We start from the raw sequence: 21,780 nt of genomic DNA, 5'->3' as shown, positions 1-21,780 counted from the left end.
ACACTTCTATGTCAGATATGCTCATTTGGGTACATGCAACTATCACTTTCCTCTCTAATGAGGAAGTCCCAGTGTTGCTTTGGTGTTCACCATCACTTGTCCCTAGAAACAATGTCTCTCTGTAGACCCTTGGGGTTAATCACCATATATCTAATTTAATCATGTTTATTTTATTTCCCTGGACAGTAATTTCTTTTATCAGGGCCTGTGACCCATTCCTGGCCAATTGTACCTAATGGTACTTAGCTTCTGGGAAAAGTTTTACTTACATATTGAAAGAGATCTGAGATCGGAAATGTCCCTGTTTTTAACAGGACGTTAGAGTTCTGCATTTGAAGCTTTGAACTGGTGCAGCTATCTTTCAGGCATGAAGAAAGACATCACTAGTACATGGGTATGGCGAAGCAGATGGATTGAAAGTTCTGGACTTTAATAAAATGACTGATCAATTGATGTTGCCAACCCTGAAACCATAGTATCTTTACTAACTCATAACAAGCCACTTACATTCAAACCCTTTTAATGTTGATTAAGTTAATTTGTGTTTGGCTGTTATTTGCATCCAAAAGCATAGCTGCTGCAATGCAAATCACTTCACTTTACTTTTAATTGTTCTCTATTCCCTCCAGAATAAATTGTAACACTCTTAGGATAGTATTTAAGGTCCTACATTAACTGACCATGACATACTTTTCCGGTTTTATATTCTGAAATTATTCTTTGAACCTTTAATAATCTACCCAAAATAACCCATTAATTCACTGTTGTTGAACATATTTTAGAATCTTTCTCTAATTTGCTTGGCAGCAATTTCCTTTCCACTTATAATAGCTTCTCCTACCTTTAAACCTTATTTCTATTGAAACATTTATGATCATCCAAGGCTGAGTTCAAAAATAACAATCTTCATGAAGTTGCCCTAGTTCTATGGTTGGAATTTAAAAACTCTTCATATGTGGGGTATTTATGTCATGTGGGAATTTTCTTCTAGCACCTGCCACAGTCTCTTTTGTATTAGAAACCTTTGTGCAGTTTCCTCTTTATCTTTGTAGACTCAATTTTACTTAGCAAAGTATGTCCCTGATAAAGTTGTTAGTCAAAATTACAAACTTGGCTGGGCATATTGGCTCATGTCTGTAATCTCAATACTTTGTGAGGCTGAGGCAGGAGTATTGCTTGAGGCCAGGAGATTGAGACTAGCCTGGGCAACATAGCAAAACTCCATGTATTAAGAAAAGAAAATCTGTAACTGAAACAGGGCAAACTAAAACAAAATCTTTAACCCCCTAGCCCACGGACTAAAAACACATGCTGACAGTCATTCTTACTTTAGGGTACAGTAATTGTGATTTCTGAATTATGTGTCAGGGAAATGTTATACTTGTGTACCTGGACACATTGACATAAATGTGCATTGTGGCACTGTTCATAGTTTAAACCAATTTAAATGAACTAAGTGTCCATTGACAAAAAAAAAAAAGAAATTAAATGTTATTTAATTCATACTATTAAATGTTAAACAGGCATAAAAATAAATGCACTAAACCTGTATATGTCAATGTAAGTAATTCTTCAAACTTCGACATGGAGTCAAAAGAGAAAATTGTATGATATAGAATATTATTTTGAAATTTCAGTACTAAGAGGGTAACCAATATCAGGAAGGAGGCCTGGAAAAAACATCTTGACTTGAAGGAAAGAAGGATTTCAAAACTGTAAACTGATGGACAGAACTCTTAGAGCATGAAAGTAAAAGAATACCTGTTATTAAGTGACACCAGTGAAAAGTCATGGTATCCAAAGAACATGAAAATGTTTTACCTTCTTTCCCAATCCTCTGAATAGGACTTAAATTCTCTGCATATGCACTCCTCATTACCGTCTTCCCTCCTCTCTCAGAAAGAGAAATCTTTCTCCCTATTCCAGGCTAATTATTATCCCTGTGTTGCAGATATCATTCACTCCAATGTCTTGGGAACTTCACATCTACAGTTATGTATTCACTCCCTTGTCTTTCCAACTTCTATATAGTATAATTTCTTATCTTTTTATAGTTTATAAACTTCTTATCTCTCTCTCCTCTTGTGTTTTAACAGATGACTTATTTTTAGGAAATGTTTAATTCATGCTGCCTTCATTGTCTAAATTACCATTTAAACTTTAGTTCATAGCACTTTTCTTCCTGTTCGTTAGCATTTACCTAGCTGTCTTAGCATCTCCCAAAAAATCCTATTCACCAAATCCAGTAAACAGTCACTGAAAATTATTTTTTGTTGACTCCAAATGTTGCATGTTATTTAACCAACCCTCTTATAATGGAAACCCTGTTTATACTTGCTTTTTTTTTTAACACAAGTGTTGTATTATAGAATAATTTTAGATTTACACAAAAGTTGAGAAAGTAGTACACAGAGTTCTTGTATGCCCTAGGCTCAGTTTCTCCTATTATTATCTTATATTAGTATGGTACATTTGTGCCAATTAGTGAAACAGTATTGATACATTATTATTAAATACAGACCATTCTTTTTCAAGGTCCCTTCCAGGACACCACTTTACATTTAGCTGCAATGTCTCCTGAGGGTTCTCTTGGTTATGTCAGTCTCTCAGACTTTCCTTTTTTGATGACCTTAAAGGTTTTGAGGAGTACTGCTTTGGCATTTTGAAGAATATCTTTTAATTGAGATTCATCTAATGTTTATCTTACTATTAGATTAAGGTTATAGATTTTTGATGGAAGGCCACAGAAACAAAGCGTCATTCTCATCACATTCTATCAATGATATAGACTAGCAGCAGAATTTATCACTGTTGATAGTATTCTGATGAAGTTTAACATTAAATAAAGTTACTTTTTTGCCCCCTTTCCATACTGCAGTTTTTGGAAAAAAAAGTTTCTATGTTCAGACCACACTTAAGGAGTGGGAACTTATATTCTACCTCCTTTGAGTATCCACATAAATTATTTGTAATCCTTCCACACAGCAAAGTTGTGTGATATCATCTATCTCTCTATTCACTTATGCGTTCATTTGTATTAGTATGGACTCATGGATATTTGTTTTATACTTTGGGTTATAATCCAATTTTATTTTATTTTATTTTATTTTATTTCATTTTATTTTATTTTATTTTATTTTTGAGAGAGTCTCACTCTGTCACCCAGGGCTGGAGTGCAGAGACACAATCTCGTTCACCACAAGCTCCACATCCTGGGTTCAAGGGATTCTCCTGCCTCAGCCTCCCAGGTAGCTGGGATTACAGGTGGATGCAACTGTGCCTGGCTAATTTTTGTAGTTTTAGTAGAGACCAGGTTTCACCAAGTTGGTCAGGCTGGTCTCAAACTCCTGACCTGAAGTGACCCATCCACTTCAATCTCCCAAAGTGCTGTGATTACAGGTGTGAGCCACCACATCCGGCCTTACAATTTTATTTTGTTGCTTAAATTGTCCTAGCTTTGGCCATCAGGACCTCTTTCAGTTGGTTCTTGTGTCCCTTTGACATATCCCATTCATTATGGGCTTATTTCCTCACTGCACTTTTTTTTTTTTTGAGCACTTTCTTGCTCTGTGGCCCTACAAAGATGCTCACAGTTCATCTTATATCTTTTCTGCCTTAGGCTAAGTGTCAACCATTTCTTCAAGAAGGCCTGGATTCTTGGAGAATGGTATTAAAAACCAAAATCTTGGTGCTAGTGTAGCTTCCCTTACTTTTTAAGCACTATTTCTATTTCTCTGTTTTCCCACCTTATTATTTCTTCTTCATTTCTTTTTTGAGATGGAGTCTTCCTCTGCTGCCCAGGCTAAAGTGCAGCAAAGTGAACTCAGCTCACTGCAACCTCTGCCTCCCCAGTTCAAGCTATTCTCCTGCCTCAGCCTTCCAAGTAGCTGGGATTACAGGCAGGCACAACCACGCCCAGCTAATTTTTGTATTTGTAGTAGAGACAGGGTTTCACCATGTTGATCAGGCTGGTTTCGAACTCCCGACCTCAGGTGATCCTCCCGCTTCAGCCTCCTAAAGTGCTGGGATTACAGGTGTGTGTCCCTGCGCCCGGCCTTTCATTTCTTACATATGTTCCTTTCTCTGTGTCTATCCCGCTTACTTGTTTTTTCTGTTTGCTAGCTATTTGTTCTAATTTTTATTCTCCTCCACTTACGGTCTCTGCTGGATGAATTCACCATTAGAAAAGAATAACCATCAGCTGCCTCTGGATGCTCCAACAAGATCTCCTCTCACTATTTTCCAGCCTCCCAGATTAGGACTCAGTGGGTAAGCTCCAGTCAGTGGAGTGGTTCTTTGAAGTTTTTACTCGCGCTTTGGGTCCATTTGCATTCTCCAATCTACCTGTACAAAACAGATTTATTTCTAGGAGTTTAGATCCTTGCTTTAGCCCATTTATAAAATAGATAACTTTTATTCTTCTTTGGATCCTTCTATTTTCCCTTGGTTGTAACACTGGTGAGCAGAAAGAATGAAGAATCAAAACTCCCTAATTTGAGAGGCCATTTAGTCTCATTATTTAAATATATACTTATATGTTCACTAGTAACAATATGTACCTCTAGTCTAAGTCACTTTCCCAAAATTTAAGACTGAGAATTTTAAATAAGATGCAGTCACTCAGGTGTCCCCCAGACATCTGAAAATCATCATGTCTAAGCTTTCCTCATTATCTCACCATTTACTCTTCCCATATTCTATAGCCTGGAAATTGTTTTAACATAAACCTGTTTACTCAAGCAGTAAAAAGAGGACTCAGCCTTAGCAACTTCTTGTATTTTCTGCCACCTAATCCAGTGCTAAGCAAGACAAGTTGATTCTGCTTTTCTAATGCATGTAGGCTTCTCTAAAGCCTCTTAAATAATTCTTTAGTGCTTTTATGTCACCACTCCTCTTAGGGAAATTTGCTTAGATTAGCATACAAATTTTGAATCCTCTTCTTTACTTTCAATTATAATTTCCCTAGTTTATTGTCCGCACGACTGCCAATATTATCCTTCCTGAATATAAAGCTAATCATAATACTCTATTGTCTTCAGAACAAAGTTAACACTCAATTTCCCCCACCCCAGCATTTTTTTTAAGTCATAGCAAATAAGACACACAGCTAACTTCAAACACAGTACTTTTTCACATAGAAATCCTTTTGCCAGGAGTTCATTTCTCTCTCTGTGCTTACTAACCTTTGTTTGTTCCTCACCTTTCATTTTCTTCTAGTTTACTCACTCATCTGTTAAGGCTTAGTTCAGCAGTAAGACCCATCCATCTATAAGGTATGAGTTAATGGGCATTTTTTCTGAGCTTGCAGACCCTTCACCATGTGCCTAACTCTCTCCTAGATTTAAACAGTAATCTGAGTTTAGTATCTGTGTATCAATTATGGGAAGGGGATGCAATTCATTTACTCTATATTGCAGCCTCCTACTTTCAAATTGAATGGTATGGGAGATTTGTGAGAGCCTGATACTTATTGGGTTATTTTTTTCAGAACACAGAGCTAAAATGTTGAGGCCATGAGACCCATACCTGGCACATTCACTATTGTTTTTTCTGCCAGTCTGCTTAGGTAGAATGGTTTTCCTTGTTGTTTGTGTCTGCAATAGTCATCAGCTATGTCTGGGTGCTCCCAAAATGTCTCCTCTCACTTTGTTCAAGCACAAAATTAGAAACATTGGTGGCGATGGATAAATGTTTGCTAAATAAAAGAACTAAGAGTAATAGAGGATTTGAAGCTACTGATTAAGCCAGTTGCTGAGGTTATAGTGTAGAAGGCACAATTGGTGTCAGTGCCAAAGGACACTTTTTTCAACAATCACTATCAGACTGTTCATTTTTTTTCAATTTGCACAGTTAATATTGTTCCATTCTTATGTAACTACTTTAAAAACAATCCTTATGTCCTAACTACATCCTAACCAAACCAATTTCTACCACAAACTTCCTATATCTGTTAATATTAGCTATGGTAATTTTTAAAAATCCCAACTCAGACTAGTTTATGAATACAGAAATCTGTCATTTCAAATGGTAAGATATCCAGGGATATAATGGCTAAGCAGTGCAACATGACTCTTAATTTCTTTAGATTTTTTTGATGCGATCACGATCTCTATGTGATTCATCCTCAAGCTCTGTCAAGGAGACTGCAGAATTCCTAAGCCTGATATTTAGACATGACAATATCCTGAAAAATAAATGGCCCCTTCTTGCTCCTTGAACTTGTAGTAGAAGCAAACCTATACATTTATCTATTTCTATTTTTATTATCTCATTACTCATTTTTAATCATTAGGTAATATGTGGATCTTAATTTTGATTCTCCAAAAGCTGACACTGAGATAAGAATTTAAGTGGAATAATTATCTGGGAAGTAATTTCAGGAAGCACCATGAGAGTGTCATAGGAACGCAGGGTAGGTAGGCAAAAAAAGAAAAAATGAGTTACATTCTGAGTGAGGTAGTTAACTCTTGCCAGATATCCTTTCACGGACTGTGTAGAAAACATGTGAGAATGGTTGCACCAACAGGCAAGGGAAGCTGGTATGTTTTTCCTTCAAATCTTGTCTTTCTCCCTGGCACTTCTGTTGACTTTGCTTATGGTCAAGAACCTTATGTTGGCCAAGAAAACCCTTGGGCAGATGGATGCAGCTGATTCAGATAAGAAGTTGAGGGTATATACAGAAAGAATCTACTGAAGGTGCAGATGACATTTGGGGTGTGCCAAATAGAAGAGGGCAAAAAGAGTGTCTGCTACAAAGCCCATCCCAGAATAATTTATCACTAGGATTAATTGAAAGATAATTTTTCACATATGCTTCTCAAATTTGATGGATGAATACCTGGAGTAACCGCCATGGTTACTATTCCCTCTATAAAGGGTTTCTGAGTTTATAATGAGGAAATGAATCTAAGCCAAATAATTACAGTTGGTTTTCATTATTGTAACTTAATTTCACTTTCCATTCAAATAAAATATAGTCAAACCTAGTACAATAAAATCTGATTAACTTCTCTGTTTTTACTAAAGACTTCAATTACAATGCTTGGTTTTATTCCTCCTAGAATTCTGCTTTTTACTATTCTTGTTTTTCTATTAGTTCACTTGCCTCCACAATAAAACTTTAAGATTCTGAAAATAGTCAATATCATTCCTTCCTCTACCAATTAAAAAAGAATGACTTACAGACAAAAAGTAGTTTAAGACAAAAAAAAATTCGAGATTTAAAAGTTTTAACATTAGGCCTTATTTGCTTTATCTCTCTATCTATATGCCTGTATAAAATTATATCAGTGTATCTTCATTATCATTATCATTCTCTCTCTGTTCATCCATCTAGATTCACAGTATTTGTCAAACTAATTGAATGTGAGTTGAACCCATGATAACATTTCACCTCTAAATAATTAAAGATAGATTCTCAAAGAACAGAGGCAATCCTCTTTATAACCACGATAACACTCAGTAAATTCAACAGTGATGAAAATGTTATATAATATACAAATTCATATTTAAATTTCTCAAATTGTCCGAATAATGCTCTTAGTTGGCTTGTTTTTTTAATCCAGAATAAGAATAATTATGCATTGCATTTAGTTGTCAAGTCTTTTATATTCTGTATTAGTCAAGATTCTCCAGAGAAACCGAAAAAATAAGATGTATGTACAAAAATGTATTTATGGTAAGGATTTAGCTCACACAATTATGAAGGCTGCAAGTCCCAAGATCTGAGGGGTGAGTGGGCAAACTGGAGACTCAGGAAAGCCAGTGGTTTTTTTTCAGTCTGAAGGCTGACAGGGTTGAGATCTAGGAAGCATCACTATTTCAGTTACAGTCTGAAGGCAGGACAAAAACAGATGTCCCAGTTTAAAGGCCATCGGGCAGGAAGAATACTTCTGTGTTCAAGGGAGAGTTAGCCTTTTCGTTCTCTTCAGGCCTTCAACTGATTGGACGAGACCCACTCCCATGAGGGAGAGCTAGCCACAAATTTAAATGTTACTTAGTCTACCAATTTAAATGACAATCTCATCCAACAACACCCTTACAGAAACACCCAGAATAATGTTTGATTAAATATCTGGGCAACCTATGGCAAATCAAATTGATGCATAAAATTAACCATAAAAGACTCAATCTAAAATGTCTTCTTCACTTAAAAAATTTTTTTGATTATTCATGGCAGTAAATTTTTTAAAGATCTTGACTAGCTTTCTTTTTTTTCATAACTTTATTTTAGAATAGTTTCAGATCTACAGAAAAATTGCAAATACAGTCCAGAGAGTTTGTTTATAATCTCTCCACTATTTTGAACTTCTGACATTACCATGATACATTTTCCAAAACTAAGAAGTCACATTGGTACATTATGATTATCTAAAATTCAGACTTTGTGTGAATTTTAGCAATATTTCAATTCCCATCTTCTTTCTCTTTTAGGGTCTGATCTAGGGTACCACGTTTAATTTATTTGTCATGTTTCCCAGATATCCTCTGGTCTAGGATGGGTGCTGAGTCTTTTGTTGTTATACATTACCTTTACAGTCTTAATGAGTACTACAGAATATCCCCCCGTCTGGGGTTGCCTTATTATTTTTTTAAAAATTAGCCATGGGTAATGGGTTTTTGGAAAAGGTACCACAGAGGTGAAGTTACTTTCTCTTCTCATCATATCACAGGGCATATGATAGCCATGTGGTCTCACTAATGATGTTGTTAACATTCACCACTTCCTTAAGGTAGTGTTTGACAGGTTTCTTCACTGTAACTGTACTGTTTTTCCTTCCCCACTCTATTTTTGAAAGCAAGTCTCACTAAAGCCTAGAAAACCATAGGTAGGGAGGGGAGTGGTAGAAATTAAACTTCACCTCCAGTAGAGGAAAGTATCCACACTATTATTAACAATTCTTCTGCATGGGAGATTTGTATATTTATTTATTCATTCAATCGTCTATTTATATCAGTGTGGACTCATGTCTATTTCTTTTATACTTTGTAAATTAAAAGAAATATACTTATGTATATGTACTTATGTATATTTATTTTATACTTTAAATATGCTCATATGTATTTCTTTTATATTTATGATCCAAAACTACTTTATTAATCTGTGGCTTGAATTGTTCCACTTTTCGCCATTGGGAGCTCCTTTACCAGATCAGTTTTGTGATCGTCACTCACTATATTCCTCTTTATATTCACCTTTCCTTTCCCTCATATCTCATGTCTATGCTATGAAACAGGATGGAAATTCAGTACTTTTAGATCACTGAATTTCAACATAACATATCACTAAGAAAAATACTTTTCCATTCTATATTTAAAAGCTTATAAACCTACTGTCCATCACTTGATTGACAAATTAACAAATGGACATTATTAGAATACGTTTACTATTTTAAAAATTAGAACTCATAAATATAAAATATAAGCTACCAAAGCCATCTGTTGAAGAAATCTTGATACTTAAAAAGACTTTCTTTCCCTGACACTTGAAGATCTCTCCTGCCTTTCATATGCGGTCCTAAATATGACAGCTGCATGGGTGATTGGCTCTCTCACCTCTGAAATTTAAATTCCACATGCTTACTATGTCACTTTATCTAAAATAATGTATAGTAATGGAAAGGCCACTGATATTTATACATAGACATATTTGTATGTTAGCAACTTACATTGCCACCAGTGTGCAAGGATGCCTCAATATGTCACTTGCATTTGACAGAAAGCTTATTGCTTTAATTTTTCAAGAAGGGCATGAATATTTTTATATTTCCTCTAAATTTAAAATGATCTAGTGTCAAATGGCATTTTTTAAAAAGAAGTTTGGTTTTCAAGCAAGAATTTATGTTATATCGTGACTACTGATTGGAATGTAGCAAATAACATACTAAAAACAAGGCTAAACTTATCACCGCATCTTATCTGCTATTTTTATGCTTTTGTATATAGCCTTTAGCTATTACATATAAAAGTAGAGATGTGAAGTGGTATAATAGACTAATATAAAGTGCAGAATTCTAGCTTCATGAGTTAATATTTCTCATCCAAATCACATAGAGAAAACAACAATCTCTTAACAATAGTGTTATAGAATAAGATAATGTAAGCAAATAAAATACCTAGAACAGTACTTAAAATAGAGTAGGTACTTGATCTCTTTTACTACCTTCCTCCTTCACAAGCAGGTATTGACAAGATTATATTTATAAATAAAACCCATTATAAATGTAATTTTATTTTTAATGTGCATTAATATTTTGTGGTTCAAACTTGAATTGATTAACCTTCACATATTATCACCTCTCAATGTAAAAGAATACTTAGTGTTGCTATTTAGTAGTCTAGAGCAGTGGTATAAATTCTCATAAGTAAAAGTCATATTTAACATTTTTATACTAAAATGCATGCATGTATTTTCTTTAAAAACTTTAAAAGTTCTGAAAATGGTAATGAACATTTTGTAATTATTTCACATAGCAAATCAAGCCACACATGTCACCTATTGAGAAAAATCCTCCCAAACAAGGGTGCCCTTTGGTGATCAGACTTTGTTTGGGCCCTGAACCTGCTTGCCTCTGGCCACCTCATTACTCCCTTCCAGAGGATTTGGCACTTGTTCTCTCGAGGTTGGGCTATTTAGGGTGAGAGCCAGGGGAAGTAACAGAGAAAAAATGGAATAGGAGCTTCAAAATCATATTTGTTTCCTAATTGTTCTCCAGTAAAATCAAAAACATTTCTCATAAGCTAGAGTGAAACTCCTCTGGAGCACATAGGCTCCAATTTTATGATGTTATTTTGCTACTTCTTTTCCCAATTAAGGCTTATTTTAAATTCATTTGTATTTGATATTGCCTCTGGAAAATGATAGGGGACGGAGCTAATGATGAACTCATGTGTTGTGATCTTTAATCCCAACATGTGGATCTGTTGTTTTTCCTAGTGTTCTATAGTTGTAAGATAGGTGTTTTTGGAAGCCACATGAATGCCACCAGGGTTAAAGAAATATACATAAATAAATAATTATCTCTCAATGAATTTGATTATTTCAGTGTTCTAAAAGCATGATTATTCTTTCCATGGGTGTATAAAATTATCAAGGACCATTTTAAACAGTGTAAAAATTCAAAGCCATCATAATAATATCCACTGTTGCCCACACATGTTAGCAATATTATTTCCTGGACCTCATAAATGTGTGTGCATTTTATGCCTAATATATGTCAATTCTAATTAAAACACTGTTTAGTTTATTAAATAATGCAAAATATCATATAAAATTTAAATGGTTATATAGTTTACTACCAGAGGCATAATTTAAGCTATGTGGCAAACGTGTATTTACTCATCTCAAAATTTAAAAAAAATTCTTTTTCAAAATTTCAACTTTTCTCCTAGATAGAGGGAGCGTATGTGCAGATTTTTTACATGGGAATATTACGTGATGGTGAGGTTTGAAGTACAGATCCCATCATTCTGTTAGTGAGCACGGTACCGGATAGGTAGTTGTTTAACTCACGCCCTCTTGCTTTAACCTCTAGTAGCCTATGGTGTATGTTATTCCTACATTTATGTCCATGTGTACTCAATGCATAGCTCCCACTTGTAACTGAGAACATGCGGTATTTGATTTTTCGTTCCTGTGTTAATATGCTTAGGTTTATGGCCTCCAGCTTCATCCATGTTGTTTCAAAGGACACGATTTCATTCTCCAAAATTAAAGAAAATACTCTTATTTATTAGACTTATAATAACTAAATATGTAGTTACACTTAAAAAATGGATCCTGAGCATAAGAAAGTAATCTACATAAGCTCAGTTAATAGAATATCAACACATTTCCTTTGCTATGTGATACTCGCTTTGAATACTAAATATTTCAAAAGGTCTTTTCCCAGATCTTTTTGTGCATAGGCAATGTGAAGAACAAAATAAAAGCTCAGACATGATAGTTAATATTCACCTGTCCTGCTAATTCAGTTAAGTACATTTTTATCTACATCATGTGTTGTATAAAATAGCTTCTGTGGCTTTAATTACAAATTTTGACTGGAGATAAGAGGAGATTCTTCCAGTAGGAATGAAAACTATTATAAACAGTTTATAAATAGCAATATATAAAAGTCCCTGTTTTCATTTCTGTGCTTGTATCTATAGCTATGGAAAGAATTCTCAGAAAATATCAATCTTCATTTTATGATGGTTGGCCTGTTTTCTTATAAAACCCTAAATATCATTAAATACATCAAAAATTAGTAAGGGAAACAACATCCAGTTCAATACTGAAAATATAGAATGCAATTCAAGCAATCATAAATTTTCATAATAAAATCATGTCAACTGAAGCGTGTACTATCTATTTTATTCAAACTCTCTATAAAGCACTTGTTTTTAAAAAAGAAGACAATTGTTTCACTTACTATACATACAACATGTTTAGGATTAGTCCCCATATCAATTGTTTTTCTTATGCTACCACTAAACACCAATACTAACAAGTCCATAGATGTTACTCTTGGTTTTACAATTTTGGTTATTATAAAACTGAAACTAAGGAAACAAGTACATGATTCATAAATATTCATACCCTTCAACATTATGCACTTTAAATTTAAACTAGTATGTTGGTTACAGAAAGTTTTGTTATAATTTCTCCTTTAAAAGTCTATCCTCAGGGAACTAAGCCGCAAATTCACAAAATAAACTGTAAATATGGTGAAAATGGGAGTGAACTGTGTCATCCATCAGGAGATAATCTCAGTAGGTTAGAGAAGAAGTGATCAATGTAGTTGAGTACATTGTGTAGAAAAGTAAGACTGGCTGAGGTAGAAAACGGTGTGACTGTGAGATGATGCAGAGTCAGGAAGAGGTAACCACATTAAGTTTGGTCAGAAATAAAAACTTGAAATAGTGATACATTTGAATATTACATCTTTCAAAATGAGCAAAAAAACTAAAGACTAATTTGATATAAAATTTAACTCAAATCTGACTTCTCTAATAAGCTCAACTTATTTTAGGAATGAGGTCTATAAGAATTCCAATGCCTACAAAACTTTAAAGACCATATTGATATAAACCTAAAGAAAAATTCTTCTCCATGCTTATACAATTTATTTTTTTATTTATGTTTTCATTGCAGGTATTCTATAACTATTCTCAAGCTGGTTCTAAAATATAGTTCTGGCAAATGAATTCCCTGTACTTGATTGATAAATTGACTGATAGATAAATGAAAAATGTTTTTGTTGAAAATAATAATAATAATATTATTTTCCATAATCCTAGCACTTTGGGAGGCCCAGGAGAGCAGATTGCTTGAGTTCAGGAGTTCTAAACCAGCCTGGGCAACATGGCAAAACCCCATCTCTACAAGAAGTACAAAATTTAGCAGGACATGGTGGCATGCATATGTAGTCCCAGCTGCTGAGCTGGGAGGATCAGTTGCGCCTAGGAGGTCAAGGCTTCAGTGAGCAATGATTGTGCCACTGCATTCCTTCCTGGGAGACAGAGTGAGATAATAATAATATTATTATTATTTTCCATTATTGGAAATCACAGGAACTCATTTATTTCAAAAGCAAATTTGCAACTTTTGAGGTCTCTAGAATCTACAACCTGTTTTAGCTGGTACTCTCTTTTGTTTCTGTAAAAAATGTTGATTCATGTCCATATAATAGTAAACACTTGTGACAAATTGGCTAATTTCTAATACCATGAATCAGTTGCTTATTTCCAAAACACTTTATGCCAATATTATTATTATAATCAACCAATTTTAATAGAAATTATGTAAAGTGATGAAATATAGAGAATAAGTTATTATAAAGATGTGGTTAAAATGCATCACTAAAAATTATTCACTAAGTTTTTTTAAAGACTGTAAAATCTTAAAAAATGTTAATATCTAAAAGAATTATAGGGCCAGGTGCAGTGGCTTCTGCCTGTAATCCTAGCATTTTGGAAAGCCCAGGAGGGCAGATCGCTTTAGTTCAGGAGTTCAAAACAAGCCTGGGCAACATGGCAAATCTCTGTCTCTACAAAACATACAAAAATTAGCTGGGTGTGGTGTCATGCACATGTAGTCCCAGCTACTTGGGAGGTTGAGGTGGGAGTATCACTTGGGCCTGAGAGGTCGAGACTTCAGTGAGCGATGATTGTGCCACTGCATTTCTGCCTGGGTGACAGAGTGAGACTCTGTCTCAAAAACAAACAAACAAACAAAAAACCGGTAAATTAATTAATTTAAAAAAATAAAAGAATTTTGCAATAAAAGATTATTTCTCTACTGTCTATATTTATGTTCTCTCACTTAAGAACATTATAATTGGAAAACATATCCCTGTGGTATACGCCAAAAATAGAACTCTGCACCTATTTATTTAAAAAATATTAAATTGATGTTGTGACGACTGGCTAGGGATTTGATAAAAGATAAACTGGGTTCTTTCCTCCTTTCACTCCAAGATAAATTCTAAATTAGTCAGAGAAAACATATTTTAAAAAATGGAACTATAAATGACCTATAAATGTAAATATTGGGAACAAAATATCATGAGCTGAGTCAAAACGAAAGAAACTGGGAAATAATATTTCCAATTTGTATGACAAAGAGTTTAAACATTTATTGAAAAAATGTTCTTAAATATCAAGGAGTAAAAATCAACAACTTGTAGTACAATGGGCAAATTTAAAATAGGCATTCATAGAAAAATATACCTTAAATGTATGAAAACTTGCTCACTTTCATTTGTAGTAAAAGAAAGATCAATAAATATTTTTATCTCATCAGAATGGCAAAATTCTAAAAGCATGATGAAATGTTTTGTTAATACATCTATGTGGATAAATGTATCTCCACACATTTCTGGTGAGGTTGAAAAAAAGTATTACAGGAATGGAGGTTTTTTGACAGGTTGATAATATCAGGAAGTTTACACAGTGAATTAGCCGTTTGATCGCACTAGGAATCTAGCACTAAGCTATACTGGCAAAAATATGAAATGATTCACTGTGGTAATTTTTAAGAGCAAATGAATGAAAACAACCTACTGTCCTTCAATAGGGAATTGAAAGATTAAATCCTTTATGTAATATAATGGGATATGATTTAGCCATAAAATAGAATGATTATGATCTTTATCCTATAATATGATACAAATTCTATGATATATGTGACAAAGACAGTATTTAATAGTTGATATGATTTTTCCATCTATCCATGTTGGGAGAAAGTCACAATAAAGGAAGCAGAAATGGAGACAAACATTTACCTAAATACCTTCCTATATAGTTTCTAATTTGCAATCTTTTAATAGTTGTACATAATCAAAAACAAATCAAATTAAATTAGAAAGTAAAAAGCTCCTAAAAATTGAAACTAATGAAACCCTCTCTCTAGGTTGACTGAAAATATATTTTTTATCTAAGTTAATTTAGAGTATATTATATTTTTATGTTCAAATTTAGAGAAAAATATTTGAAGACAAAATTTTACTGCAAAGAATTTATAAAACTCATTCAGTTTTCTGAATTTTATAAGCAATACTAGTGTTATTACATTGAAAATACTTCATTTGTAACTGGGTAAAGCAAATAAGCAAAATTTTTACTATAAGAAAAAATAAATATAGGAAAAAAATGAAACAGGATAAGTAAAAATCCTGTGGTAGTAAATCGGAATTGAAAATACATCATATGTTAACACATTTGTTTTGTTTCTGAAATACATTTTTTACTAACCCTGCTCCTTGCAAAGGCCAAGAAGTAATGGTAACTGAATCATTAAATCGTGAGTACTGTAAGTAGTTTCTCCACTAAAAAGAGCAGTTTTGGAACAATAGCTGTCGGGGAAAATATGGAAGATTAGCTGAAGCATCTAGTGTCAGAGTAACAAGGATGTTATCAGAGATAAGTGGGTTACATCAAAATTAAAAACGGGCAATAAAGGATGCTAGGTCCAAAATAAAGTAATTTGTCCACTATAAGGTAAATATTTTCATAAAAACATGTTCAATATCTAAGTGGTATCTTTATGTAGAAATTGCAGTTCAAGTAAACTAAAGAGGAGCCAAGGCACTAGGCAGCTGGACGTCAATCTATGGCTAATTTCACCATTACCACAACTGCCACCACTACTAACCTTAGCCTCTCAGAGCCATGTCTTTGTCCTCCTAGGCAAGGATGGTGGGGTAGGTACCTTGACAAAATAAAGGTCACTTCTAAAACAAGTTTCTGGGAAATGAGATTGGAGAATGATACAGTTATCTCTTTTCCTTTCTTTCTCAAATATCTTATTTATTTCTCCTATACGGTTCTTATGTGTCTAGTACATGGTTTTCTTTGATTATTAACTTACTCATGTATTGCTTTTGATTAGTCCTTTGTGGAAATTGAACAGAAATTATATACACGGTTGATAGTTTAATTTCTACTAATAAAGTAACTGTCAATAACAATAGCTAACTTTAGAGTTTAACTTCTACTAGTAAAGTAACTGTCGGTAACAATAGCTAACCTTATACAGCACTTACTGTGTGCTGGTTTAAAGCCTCTACCTTTAATTATTACAGACATTTTGGGGGGCAAATACTGTTGTGATTCCCATTTTACACAAGAGAAAAATGAGTCAGAAAGGTTAGAAGACTTGACCAGGTTATAATTAGTGTCTGACCCTAGAGATCAACTGACACAGAATGGCTCCAGAGTCCCCATTTAGAACCAGTCCTCAAATCGTATTTTTGCAGGACACGATTCCCCTCAGCACTCTTTCAGACAATTTTTTAAAAATTATTCCCATATATGCTTCTATCTAACTTCATGAACATTGAAAAAAGTCTCTTTCACATTATTTATTTTATAAAAATAAAAAGACTGCATAAAAAAATCTATGCCAAGTTGTTCCCTTTCATTGTAATAGTTTGTCACTATTACAATCTGCTGTTCATTGTTAAGGGACCCATTGATGGTTCTTATACATTCTTTTTAAATAATTTAGAAATACATGTGCTTAAAATTATGGCAATATTCATATAAATAGAAGTTTTTAGGTGATACTAATTGATGGATCTTTATTTTTCCCATTCTCTATTTTGAAACAAATTAAAGTGTTCTTTTCATAGGGGCAGCTGGCAGACATTGCCTCCTTTTTTGTACAATTTAGCAATAATGTAACCATCACGTAATTTATAAAGCATAAAAGTAGTTTTCTTTTGTTATCATTGGAGAATTTTCTAATTTATTCTTTTAATTAAGTCTTCTAGAAAAACTAAAAATTTAAAAAGTGAAATTTCTAAAATAACCTATATTAAAGACAACTTTGAATTCTTTGCATAGGACAGTAGTCTATTAACACACACTTTGAAGTGATTTATACCAGTCTTAAGTAAAACCATTACACAAATATTTATGGAATGGTTTTCACAATTAGGTGAAGTTGAAGAGCATTGTAAACAATGTTGACTAAATTTACCTCATTGTGGTCCAAATATGCTATTTTAAACAAACTATTGATGGCAAAAAATCCCCATAAAACACAATCTTTTAGAAAATGGTTTTTTTCTAGCTCTAGTGGGAGAATTTGTTTTTAAGTAATATTTACTTAAAATGACATATTTGTGACAATTTATTTAAATAAAAATATATAGAGTAATCAGTTTTAGAATCTGTTCTTAAGTCAACATATTCCCTTACAAATATATTTCACAAGAGACTTTATGAATATAATTTGTTCGACTAGGAAAGAGGTGATTCATTATTCCTCTTTATGTATCTGAATCTATGTAATAATAATGAAACACATTTGGGGTTTATATTGTATTTTTATTTTATTTTGGCAAATATAATTTATGTCTAAATTTCATGTGCTCACACGCACCCCGAATAGACTAAGGCCACTTTAATATATGAATTTAATTATCTATCATTATTACTACAATCACCTAGCAAACACTAAATTCCCTTATGCCATACATACTTAACCCAGAATGAAAGTGGTATTCTAATTTGTGGCATTTTAATTTTGACTGATTAACATTTGCTTCATTTGAATTATAAACAAGTTTGTATAATAACCTTATGATTAGTGAGTGACTTTTCCTAATTTTAAGTGGGAATAAAAAAGAATGTAGCTGTCAGGTATATTAGAATATGACCTCTAGCTAATTAAATTGGTCAACATTTTGGAGCAAATTTGTAGAAAATTTTCATATACTTTATCTCCCATGATAGTTGCAGAAATCATGTGAGGTTGCTCTTACTGTCCTCTGTATGGTAGGATGCTCTGGATGAAAAAGTGAATTTTAGAGAGTATGTGAATTCTTCAAGGTCATATAGCTAATAAATTCAGACTAAGTTCTTCAGATTTAATGTCTAGTTCTTTCCATTGTCATACTGTTATTAATCAAAAGTTAATATTTTATCATTGGAAAAATATAAACTTGATCATTTGTACATAGCACTCTTAGCTTGATACCCTCTTCATATTTTGATATGGTAATTGTTGATAATAAATTTCACTATGTAAAATGTGTATTTTAATTTTGAAATGGAACATCTAATGAATTCTTTTGTACCATGCACATCCTTTAAAGTGTCTCCTTCGATGCAATTCTGAATCTCTACAACTGCCAGCATGCAAATACACACACACACACACACACACACACACACACACACACACACACATAATATATATATTCACATGCTGGCAGTTGTGAATATACATTATATGTAAAAATATATAATATCATAAATTGTGAACATTTTAAAGTATGATTTATTTTATACAAACAAGATGCTTTAGGGGACAAGTGGTATTTAAGATCCAGTGCCTTCTACACTCATTCTTACAAATTCTATCACGTCCCAGACCTTGTCATTCCCAGGAATGAATAAAGAAAAAGAGCTACCTAGATCTAGTAATTAACCAGTGCAGCAAAAGCAGGAAACAACTGATACATGTGTGCCAGGAGATATCTTGCCCACATCCAAATCCCATATAAGCAACGTAAAAAAATAGCACTACTAGAGCCACAGTTCAGGATTGTCATGCCCTATGCCCAGGAGAAACTGAAAACAGACAGTAATGACTAACAACTATGCTAACCACAGGCAAAAAGCATTAAGTAGATCACTACTTCTGTCATTTATACTGTAATAACATCTGGGCTAGAATAGCAGAGTTATCTAAACAAGTTGTGTTTCATGCAGACAAATCATAAAATAAGTCAGAAAACTTAAAATTCCTGGGTAAATTTGGAGTTTAATGTGAAAAAATACATAGTAAAAACAGGATTTAGAAACATATTTTGGATGTTTTTCTGTTAATCCATTATTTACTTGATTGACCAATAGGGAGCATTCTTGCTCAAAGTGGCAGTGGTGGGTAATAACAATGGATCTTTCTCTGTGAAAGGCTAAACCCAACCTGGAAAATCGTTCTCTTCACATGAGTTTGGAGAATAGCTGTCCTGGAAACATAACTGTCACCTACTAATAAAATTCAAAACAATTCATAGGGAGATAGTCATTGTATACATTACATAAAAATTATTAAAATACTAAAAATGCAGAGTTTTTAGCTCTTGTTAGTCAATATTGATTACTTTTATCTATTCAATTCTGTTATTTCTATTATTAATTTAATAATTTCAGATGGTGAAAGTCAATGCATACAAAACACAGAAATCAACATCATTCTATACATCCCTGTCAAATTCACAATTTCACTGCCCCTCCCTTGAAGCAACAATTTTTAAATGTTTGTATTTTGGGTTTGCTTGTTTTTCTCCACAATGATATGTAATTATTTATACTAGCATTACTTGAAATATGAGCATTTAAAAAAATTTTTCTATGATAAATGAAAATTAGAACACTTAACATCCACCCCATGTCACCTTCCTCTCCTTAAATTCAGATAAATATATAAGGGAAACGTTGAACAGTCAAGCACTTTAATTTTAGTTTCTTTTATAATCAAAAAAATATTCTGGAAAATACATTCCTTTCTTATTAACTTTCTGCTTTTATTTACTGTTATTATGAAAAAATTCAAACATTAAAAAAGCAAAAGTCAGAGCACAATGACCATGACCATGCATGTCTATTTGCATCATACAGGTTTAGCTAATATATTTTCTCATAATGCTATATGTGTTTATATGTTCAGGACTAAATTATTTTAACTTATAAACATCATGATATTTCACCTATGTATATTTGTATATGTCCTTCTTAAAACTAAGACATTTCTTATATAACCATAATGGCATTTTCACATTTAAGAAAATTATTTCTTACATAGTATAATATCTAGTCCATATTTAAATTTTTTCAGTTGCTATCAATTTTATCTATTTCTTTACATCCATCATATAAGATAAATATATTAACACTCCCTATTTCTTTCCCCTCTTTTTCCAACTTCCTGTCTTCCAACATCTGTTCTTTATACTTATGTTCACCATAATAAAATTTTGTCTTCTTTGCCTATAATTTGTCTATAAAAGATGAAGAAAAATTAAGCTAAATAAATAGTAGATTTAGGAAAGTTGAAGGCCTATACCCAACTCTTGTCTTAGGTTCTGTGGGAAGCAGACTGTGAGGTTCAGTTTGAACATATGTCACCCATGAGGGAGTGTTCTGGGGTCACCTGTGAAGGAGGGAAGGCAATAGAATTGGGTAAAGGGAAAAGTTGAACAGTCAAGCACTTACAATAGAAACAAAAGGTTGAGCTGGTCCTATAGGGAAATTTGGAGCTGCGTTGACTCTTCAGAGACGCTCTTTAATGAGGTCAGAGGGCCAGACCTTTTTATTCCCACTTGTTTGGGTTACCGAATGATTGCTACTTCATGAACAGGGTGTAAACATGGGCTGTGACAACTTCCTTAGGTTGGAGGAAATGCCTGGGAAGCTACTCAACTGAGAACTCTTAAAAGTCAACACTCTCAGAAGCTGGCAGGAACAACTGGGTCCTGAAGTGGTGTCTGGGTGGCACCGTAACATCTGTGATGTGGCGAGCAGAACTGACCTGGAGAGAGCTGAGCTACCAGGTGCTGCCAGATCTATTACAACAAACAAGCCAAAATGAAAGTAGCAGTCAAGCCTTATTAACTTACTGAGATAAATTCAGCAAGAAGCTACACAAGAGAAAGCATCCCTTTCTTCAATATTCCCTTTTTCATCATGGAACAGTGCCAGGTGAGGATCAGGAAAATCAGCAAACACAGCGACTGTCTCAATGCCAAGAGAAACTGGAACAGAAGGCTCCTGTGGGTTTTTGGTTTATTTGGTGTTTTTGTTTCTCCCCTGGATGAGGCAGGAATAGGAGCAGGAGCTGAACAGTCCTAAATACTGAGTTAGAGTGGACAAAAGCAACTTCAAGTCTCCATGCCCCAACTCCACAAGGTGGCCTTGGCAGAGGAGCCTGAAGAAGTCCTCAGCTGAGCTACTTCTCCTCCCCTATGAAGAGGCCTCCAAACAGAAACCCCTGGTTTAGGAAGGCAGATATGAGTAAGAGTATGGATGGGCAGGAGGCCTGGGTCCTTGACTGCAACTCCCTTCGGAGACTGTGATGCACTGGCTGTGACCCAACTCTGGTGTGGACAGACCAGCTTTCTCCATGGGCAAAACAACTAACATTTTATAACTGCCTATGGTCATGCCTGAAAAGTCATGCATAGGTTTTGGCCAAGAGTCAGACTTCTCACACTACACATCATCCCCGGCTATTCACCTTGCCTCTCCAGATTCGAATAGCTGTTGAAAGATGTAAGTGGCTAGGTC

The sequence above is a fragment of the Homo sapiens genome, chromosome 4 (assembly GCF_000001405.40).
Source record: "Homo sapiens chromosome 4, GRCh38.p14 Primary Assembly".
In the NCBI taxonomy this organism is placed as follows: domain Eukaryota; kingdom Metazoa; phylum Chordata; class Mammalia; order Primates; family Hominidae; genus Homo; species Homo sapiens.
This window is presented reverse-complemented; position numbering follows the sequence as displayed.